Source organism: Homo sapiens, chromosome 3 (genome assembly GCF_000001405.40).
Source record: "Homo sapiens chromosome 3, GRCh38.p14 Primary Assembly".
Classification (NCBI taxonomy): domain Eukaryota; kingdom Metazoa; phylum Chordata; class Mammalia; order Primates; family Hominidae; genus Homo; species Homo sapiens.
This window is the reverse complement of record NC_000003.12, coordinates 18,569,757-18,579,494: the sequence shown is the minus strand read 5'-3', so window position 1 is coordinate 18,579,494 and position 9,738 is coordinate 18,569,757. Positions and strand designations below refer to the sequence as shown.

Sequence of the window (9,738 nt, the reverse complement as noted above, 5' to 3'; positions counted from 1 at the left end):
CAGGGCACTGTGTAGGAAGGTATGATCAGAGAAATATCCCAGAGTGGGGAGTATCTAAACTGCCTTTATGTATAAGGATGTCTAAACATCTAATACAAAGTGACTATGTTTCTGTGATGTAAATGTCCTCTACTGCACCAAATTTTCAATAAAATCAGCCCCATACAACAAAGAGAGTGTTCCAGGAAATTATTATCTGGGTGGAGAATGGGAAGTCTTGGAACCAAGAGTAGAGACCGAGTCCATTCTAGATCAATTAAATACACAATAGAAGTAGTGCAAGAGGTTGGGCGAGAGATGCCATTAAAATGAAAAGAGTCAGGGGAAGTAAAAATTGCATGCCTAGCACAAGAATGACACTTGAACCTCCCTCCCAAAAGAGGACACATTTCGCAAACCAGAGATTCTGGTATTTGAGACAGGGTGGTCTCAGTTAATCCTTTAGTTCGTAGTAAGAGTATGAAAACTTGGAACTCTTTGCCAGAAATAGGACAATGTTCAGGAATAGAGCATATAACTGAGGCATCTGTTGTGCACATTATCTAATTTTAACTATATATTTTTAATACAAATATATGTACTTTAATAAAGGCACAGCAGTGTGTCTAAATAAGCCATTTGGTCTCCAATTTATACCATCAAAAGAAAGCAGCAGTGTTAGATTCGCTTATTGAAACCACTTGGAATTATTAAAACATCATTTTATCTCTGGAAAAGAAAAACAGTTGAGGTTACTGTCAGAGAATATTACTCTGGGAGAAGATAATGTACACTTCATAAATTGTTATATTTAAAATTGAATCAGTCTACTCCAGAAGGAAAATTGAACATTTTTATGATGACCTGGATGAAAATAGCGGTGGGAAATGAGAAGTCTGTCCTCCAGGTGACGGGATTATGAAAGTGCCTTGAACTACTATTCTGAAAATGTGTCCTACGAAGACACTCAAGTCTCACTGCACAACATACCGTTTGCAAAAGGCAAATTGGGCATAAAATGCCAATTATTTTACACCTGAGACACAAAAGCAAGACATATTACAAACAAGTGTATTTTGGGAGATTCTTTCCAAACAGTTAATCACTAACTTTGGCTCATAGTCTGTTGTATGAACTTCAGTTACAAACAAGAGGCAGTTGGAGTTACTGTCAACAACAGAAGCACTACATAAGAAAGTCAAAATTTTTAAAGAAAACCTCCTGTACATTTATATTGTAAGAATACATCTTGTAAACAAGGCAGAAAATGTCACTAAAAACTCAAGGTATTATTCTTAGAAATATTCACATTCATGTTATCTTGTGTGTATCTGTATGTGCGTGTCTGTGTGTGTGTGTGTGTGTGTGTGTGTGTGTGTGTGTCTCCAAAATATCTCATGCCCTTTGCTGAAACTAACATGTAGAATTTATATTTCTCTAAACGTGCTTGAATTTGATCCATAATAGAGATATCACAACCGTGTCCATGTAAGTACATTTCAGAGTGAGAATTTTTAAAAATTAATCCTGATAGACTTAATACCCTTTAGTATCTGTCTTGACTTGGTTCCCAGAAGCAGATCCTGACATAAGGATTTGAGGGCAGGAAGTATATTTGGAACATGATCCCAGGAAACTGGAAAAGGAATGGGTACATGAGACAAGGAGGAGAAAAATCCCATAAGGCATGCATTATCAAGCAGATACTTGCTGCGGACAACTGAGAGTCAATCCTTCCAGGGAACTGTGGGAGATAATATAGGAAACACCTCAGAGTTATCCCAGCTGAGGAATATGGAGAGCAGGTATTTATTCGCCAGTTCCCATGTGCCTTTTGGGCACTGCTTCTAGAGTCATTCGCACTCTTCAGCCTGCCCTGTGGTTGGGCCACCCAACCTTCCAGAGAAAAAGCCTCTGGAGAGCACTGAAAGTGCTTTCATAAGCGGTTTTGGAAACATGTAGAGGCCAAAGCTAAGAGAATGTGTGCAGGGCACTCAAAGCTCCTACCACAGTGGCATTTAAGGGCCTCACAAACAACTATGGAATGAAAGGATGCCTAGCTAGTATAGGATTGAGTCTTTTCTATAGGTGGTTCTGATATCTTCTTCTTCCTGTTCAAGACCTCTTTGTTTTTGCAGTAAACACCTTCGTCTTTGGGAAGGGAGAAAAGGAAGAATTATGAGTGTATTTTCCTGGCTGAGTCTGTATAAAATTCATGTAGTTGTATCTTAGGAAATGGGGGAAGGTGTCTTATTCTATTCTGGCTGCTGTAGCAAATATCTTAGACTGGGTAATTTATGAACAACGGACATTATTTCTCCCAGTTCTGAAGGCTGGGCAGTCCAAGATCAAGGCTCCAGCAGGTTTGGTGAGTGGTCAGGGCCCATTCCTCACAGATGGCACCACCTAGGTGTCCTCATCTGACAGAAGAGATAAAAGGGCAAAAAGGGGCACTCCCTTCCACCTCTTTTATGAGGTTAGTAATCCTATTTACGACGGCTCTGCCCTTATGACTTAATCACCTCCTAAAGCCTCCATTTCTTCATAATATCACATTGGTGATTAAGTTTCAACACATGAACTTTGGGGAATGCAGAAGGAAAGAGTGGAAAAATAATGACTTCCAGTACAAAGGTCAGCAGAAACAAGAAGTAGAGAAAACAAAATTGATTATGTGGTGTCTGTTCCCCAGCCCCATCCCAAAGAATCCTGCCAGAGCTCTATGTGTCATAGGAAGAAACCAAAGAACTCTGGTAGACAACAAAGATAAGAAGTTCTAGTTGGTGGATACGTGAGAAGCTGTGACACCATGGGAAGGGGAGCTTTCTTGATTTTTCTATATGGATCACACTGTGTCCTCAAGGCTGTGAGGACCACAGGGAATTCAGCACTGCTTGATATTCTAAGGGAAGGCATGTGGATCTGAGGGCACCGGAGGCAGCACCCTCACAACAGGTAAGTATGACCTCAGGGTGGGTACTGGACACTGTGGCCCGAGTGAGACAGCCCTCTCAAATGCTTCCCAGGTAACCTACCACTGAGAGAGATAGAATTTAAGATATGGGAGACACGTTCATGAGTACCCTGAGATATTGTCAAAGACTCTTGGAAATAATGAGAAAACCCCTTGGTGAGGGAGGGGAGATTACCACTGGAGTTGGTGGAAAAACAGACATCAATAATGAAGTGAGGAACGGGATGAGGCACAGATACTGGCTGAGGAATCTGGTGGTGCACACATTCCCGGGACACACATCCTGATGGTCCAGGATAGGCCAGATCTGGAGGGAAGTGCGTGAATGAAAGAAGCAGAACAGGAGTGAGGCATTTAGTGGGGCTCTGCAATGGCTAAGAAACAAGGATCCATGTCTTCAACAAATGTTGATTGTACATCCATTATGTTTCAGGCATTATTCTCCACACTGGAGATACATCACACAAGACAGAAAGTTTCTACTCTCATGAAGCTTACAATTTATTGCAACAATAGCATTCTGTGTGCATCATACTATGCAATTTATTCTACTTTTTAATCATCTTTTTTGTTGTCAGATAATAATTTCGTAAGTGAAAATAATTCTCTTAGGATTACGCCATGCAGTTTTTGCATATAGAAATGTTCCCAGGATGAAACGTGTGTGTGTGAGCGGTGTTTTGTTTTTTTTTTTTTTTTGGTTTGTTCAAAAACTTACATGCACAATGACTCAATTAGTATAAGCATTCTTGGTAATTTGATTCATCATGCAAGAGACTGACTAAGGCAATGGCCTGTGATACAACCCTGGCTAACGAAACTTACAGGGAAGTCTCCTAAGGAGTTTCTCCCCAAAAAGTTCCTTCTCTGATAAAAAGAAACGTTTAAGGAGAACTTTCCTTTTCTCTGCCACTCCATGTGGTTGTGTGAAGACACGACACCTAGGGTCACAGCCGTTACTTTGTGTCCCTGAGGAAACAAACTGAGGGGAAATACCAACAGAGGATGAGAGAATGGATCAGGGAAAGAATCTGGGTCACTGGGATCATCTCGGGACACTGAATTAACAAGTCGTGGAAATGTCTATTTCCAGTGCTCCTGTTTTGTGACCATACAAATTATTCTTATTATTTAATTCATTTTTAAAAGTTACTTGCAGCCAAAAGCATGGTAACTGATGGACTGAGTGAGTTTACCAAAGAATCAATCAAGAACACCTTTTAACCATTTGTACCACCTGGGTTATACCACTATATACAAAAGTGTTGTTTCTCGATCTGAAGTAAATCTACTTATTTCAAAGCATTCTATAGACTGGTTTTCTTTGCTTCAGTCTCATTTTTCTTGATATAGAAGCCTTATGTTTTTGTCCATATAGCTAAAAAAGTATGCTTAGTATATTGAATATACTAAATACACCAATTGATATATCTTATTTATTTTTTTTTATTCTTTAAGTTTTAGGGTGCATGTGCACAACGTGCAGGTTTGTTATACATGAAAAAATGCTCATCATCACTGGCCATCAGAGAAATGCAAATCAAAACCACAATGAGATACCATCTCACACCAGTTAGAATGGCAGTCATTAAAAAGTCAGGAAACAACAGGTGCTGGAGAGGATGTGGAGAAATAGGAATACTTTTACACTGTTGGTGGGACTGTAAACTAGTTCAACCATTGTGGAAGTCAGTGTGGCGATTCCTCAGGGATCTAGAACTAGAAATACCATTTGACCCAGCCATCCCATTACTGGGTATATACCAACTGATATATTTTAATAGCACAGGAGTTACAATTCAAGTTCCAGTATTATGGTGAACTATTGTTAGAATTCCAGGTAGAGCCTTTGCTCTTTATAGTAACTCGTTTAGCGTCATAATCGTACACTCTTAAGGTCCAGAGAATACCCTTTGCATGGGTCTGCCATCCCTCTCCTTCAGCACTGCTCCTGTCCTGCTCCCCACCTACTCCATGGGAGGATTATCTGCCAAAGTTATTTAACGTAAGAAGAATCATGAGACAGTATGACAACTCCCTATTACATCTTGACCTTATTTCTCCTGCAATGTCGTTATGGTCCCCTAAATCAAAACAGGTAAATCTTTAACGCCACCTTTGAAAAGTCATATCAAAAAAATAAAGAAAAGAAAAGAAATAACCAGCTTCCCTCACTGTCAGATTTTACTGTCACATTGTGAAGACCTTTCAAGACTTTTCCAATATAACTACATCAGGAGGAATCTTGAAATATATCATATGATCTGAATTGTGGATGACAAATGGCTTGAATTTCCCATCATCCCAATGTTGTCAATTTGGCCTTCCTCCTCACTGACTCAGGACAGACAGTGGGACTCCAGCCTCAGGCCTGCATTAAGTATCACATCCAGTAAATGAATTTATTTCTTTTACCAATATCATTGCATTAGAGAGACTTGGGGGAACACTGGCTTGGAAGAACATTCCTGGTAGCTGCAGATAGTTCTATTGTCTTCCTGTACTCTTAATAAAGATGAAAAAAGAAGAAGATAGAAGGAGTACAACTTTATCTCAGTTTTATAATTCCCCTCCATGTGTTGACACAAATCCACCACATGATAAAATCCAAACTTGCACAAGAGTGGGACAGTCTGGAGCCAATGAGCTCTCCACCTGCTCACCCTTCTCAGAACCACAGAGTTCACAGGTGATATGATGGGAGGTGTCTCTGGTGCTGGGTGCCAAACCCCCGATCCAATTTATTCCCTTCCTGAAGGCTTCCTTCCTCATATGTGGTAATCACACCTCCTCACCTTCCTCCTCCAAGAGCTTTGTTAACTTTCCTGATTTGTTTTCCCCCTGCTTAAATAATCCAAAATCTGCTACTGTGTAGTACATTGCAGAAGAACAGATGCAGTTGGGTGCACCTGGGGACAGCTGCAGTCTGGACTCCGGGCCCCCATCAATTATCACCCCCCTTACATTCACCCTCCCCTCCATCACCATCACGTTACCACCTGTGCTTCGTGTGTTCCTGTGACTCCTTGGGAAAAAATGCAATGCATGGCGTTTCAGAGTTTCTCTGATTCCCATATTGTGTGCAGGTCTCCCTTCCATCCCTCTTTTTCAACATACTAATTGTAAATGCAGATACAAAGAAATGCCTTCAGAAAGCACAGGCTTTCAAGCTCAACCCAGACAAAGGTGTAGCAGCTGCCAGAACTCAAATACTATCTGATTTCGTCTGAGGCATGGCTTTAAAATTCCTGCAGGCTCACAATTCCCCTTGTCTTCAAGGGCAGAACTGGGCCCAACCAAGAGGCAACCACTGTGAGTCTGAGGGCCGCCCAGCAGTGTGAGGTTTTTCAGTATATTATAATCATTAAAACACCTGTGCTAAATAACCTAATCCAGTATGAAGTGTTCCTGAATCTCTGCAATTACTCATTTCTTAACTAGCCTGTCTCATTGATTGCTTTTCAGTCAGCACTAGAAAACAGAGGTAAAGCCAGGTTCAAAACCTCTTGAAGTACTTGCTCACCTGCATTGTGAGGCATGATACATCTGCTTTGAAACTTCTTGCTCTGTTATCCTACTGCAGCTCTAGTGAAAACCAACCCAGATTTAAATGGCACTAGGAAGGCAACTATAAGCAGCCTGAAGAAGCCAGCTCAGAGATGAAAAGGTGCTGTTTATTTGGATTAAGAGTGGAGTGGAAACAGTCTTTCTTAGTAACATTTGATGCTCTGATGAAAGATAATACAGGGGTGAGTCATGCAGGAATGAGGGAAATGCAATTTTAAATGAATAAAATCCCTCCTGCTTCTCAAGATGTACTGACTGCCCATGTCATATGCTTAGTCTATTTTAAAGCAGCTGGTCACTTAAATCAAAAATCACACAGATGGATGAAAAGTTCTCACAGGATTAGAAAATGTCTTTAAAATACCCATGGCCACATGGGCTCTGTGTCCATTGGCAAGGTTGGGACTTAAGCCTCTTTGCCCGCACGCTTATAGACTCCTACCATTCAGGTAGACTTCTGGCTCTAGCAGTGTTTTGCTTTCTTCAAATGCAATTTCTTCTATGGCCAAGAGTTTCTTTCTGAAAAGGCAGGATTCAATTCAGGTATGGGTAAGTGTCATAGGGACAGATAAAAGGAAGCCATATGACATCCTTTAAAAATTTATTTTTTGTTTAATCTCTGAAATGCAATATGAAAATGTCTTGGGCCCACCTCATACCAGGGTTCTGCTGAGCCTCTGGTATGGTTTTAAGACGAGCTATAGTTGTACCCACACTTGAGCTTCTTGAGCATCTATAGACTTATATACCAGGAACTGTATTAAGGTATTTTACATAAAAGATCTCATTTATTCCTCATAGCAAACTGGTGCAGAAGATATTCTTGGTTTCTCCATTTTATAAATAAAGAAGCTGAAATACAGGGTGTGAGGCCGCAAAGCTAGTAAATACCAGAACCAAAACTGGACTCACACATCCTAATTCCAAAGTCTGTACTGTACTCTACTACACAGTTTACCAAAAAGAAAACTAAGCAGTCACAACACAAAAATTGTTTAACCCCAAGAATAATATTAGAAATGTAAAAGACAATAACAATGAGATATGCTTTTCTTTCTCAAGCTGGAAAATATTTACAATGAGAGCATCAGGCTAGTGGAATAGGATGCAAATGTTTTTAATTTATTTTTCGTGTTTCTGGATTAATAACATATTATTTGTGTAATTAAAATAGGCTTTTTTAAGGTATTGATGATTGTGACAATAAGATAAAAATGATTTTATAGATCAGCAAATCTCGATTACATTGTATAGGCAGATATAAATTTGGGATTAGTTATAAAAAATCAACATTTTCTTATCACAAGTAAAACTGCACTAAAACTGGCAAATGCTTTGTGAATTTAAAGTATTCCTTTTAATAATGCTTTTTTTCTTTCTTTTCCTTTCTTTTTTTTTTTTTTTTTACTTTATTGAGTTCCAACATGTTCTCATGAGTAGAAGAAGACAGAAGGAGCTAGAATTCCCACAAACCTGGGGAAGTGCATACCATCCACAGCTGATGCTATCCAAGAGGCAACCCATTACTCATACATCACCAGTTGGGTGGAAAGAGTTTACAGTAGGACATCTCCACCTACAAATGGATGGTTTAGGGGACGATATACAAAGATGGCATCTGGCCATGATAAGGGGAAGGCCAAAGTCTAGCTAGTATCTGCATGGGAATCACTTTTCATCATGTAGCCACTGCATGATGCAAAATAAAATTTGAGAGTAAAAGCTACAGAATACTCAGAATATTTCCAAACTAAATGTTGAAAGTCCACCACTGCCCCAAACACTTCATACTTACATGCCGAACTACTTCAATCCTTAACATTTTAGCCTATACCCACAAATTAAAGGATGCTGACTATAACTTCTTCCCTACTTCTGCCTCTTTATTCCTCCACTCTAATTTGGCTTTCCAAAATTTAGACTACAATGCTCCTGGGGCCAAGGATGTAGGTCCAAGCTCTCTGGGTAACAACCAGTGTGGCTCTGTTCCATGGACTCATGCTCTAACTCCTGCCAACCTTCTCAAAAAAAATGTGTACAGTTTGGCCGAAGAAGCCCAAAAGAAATTATTTAGCTCCTTTTTTTTTTTTTTGCCAATGTGGCAACAATCGAAGCATGTACTCTATAAAAGGTAGTTCACTGACATTTTTCTGGACTGCAAAAACAAGTATTATATGGCATTAAACCATCCTGCAACCGGCACACTTTTGCTGTGTGTTTATTTCTTCATCCAACAAATGTGTTAACTGATAGTCAGAGGCACATTGTGACAAGTTTGAATATGCTGAAAATATGAGAGCCCAAATGAGTGATCGTTTCCACCACTTACAATAGGATTAAGCATTTATCAGATAAGGAAAATATTACAATTGGATTGGGAACATAGGTTACAATTCAAATATAAAATACTTATAATATGTGTCCATATTTGACAAACACCGCAATCTATTTCCATGCTATCATATCAATTTTATCTCATAGAAGTTGCAAGCTTCTGTTTGTAAACACTATGTGCACATATAAATATTTATATGTAGGTATAAATAACTATGCACATATATGTGTACTGTGTGTGTCTCTGGGTATATATAAAGGTATATATCATAATGTGCTATAATTCATATCAAAGTTAAGACTGAAGTGATTTTGCATAACAAATCATATGTTATCACTTCAATAAAGATATTTAGTGAATGCCTTATATGTGCAAGGTCTTGTGCTAAGTGCTAGCTAGCAAGGGAAATAAAGACTAATAAAAAATTTAATATGTATGCTCTCAAGTTGCTTACAGTTTATCGGGTAGTCAAAAAGATAAGTAAACAAGCAACTGTTAAGTAAATTTAGCTAAGTGACAATGATAGAGATGTAAACAAAGTGTTATGGGTATTTCAAAAATTATACGTAGATATAAATGTAAAGATGAATATAGATCAAGGTTTGTCAAACTTTTTCCATAAAAAGCCAGTTAGTAAGTAAATTAGTCTCTGTGGGCTATACTGGACTCTACCAGTTGTAGCCAAAAGCACCCATAGACAATATGTAAATCAATGGGTATAGCTGCTTTCCAATAAAACTTTATTTATGGACATTGAATTTTTAATTTCTTATCACATGATACATTATTTTTCTTTTGATTATTTTTTCAACCATTTAAAAATACAGCAATCATCCTCAGCTGACAATTAGTACAGAAATGGGAGATAGGCTAGATTTGGCTT

The 9,738-nt window shown here is 38.8% G+C and overlaps 1 annotated feature.

Annotated features, from left to right (window-relative positions):
• Positions 1,923-3,122: an enhancer, noted in NCBI's record as "CDK7 strongly-dependent group 2 enhancer chr3:18617865-18619064 (GRCh37/hg19 assembly coordinates)". NCBI's record gives its function as "activates an origin of replication core promoter dependent on BRD2, BRD4, P300/CBP, MED14 and CDK7 cofactors, with strong dependence on CDK7, by STARR-seq in HCT116 cells {active_cell/tissue: HCT116}" and the evidence as "EXISTENCE:reporter gene assay evidence [ECO:0000049][PMID:35650434]".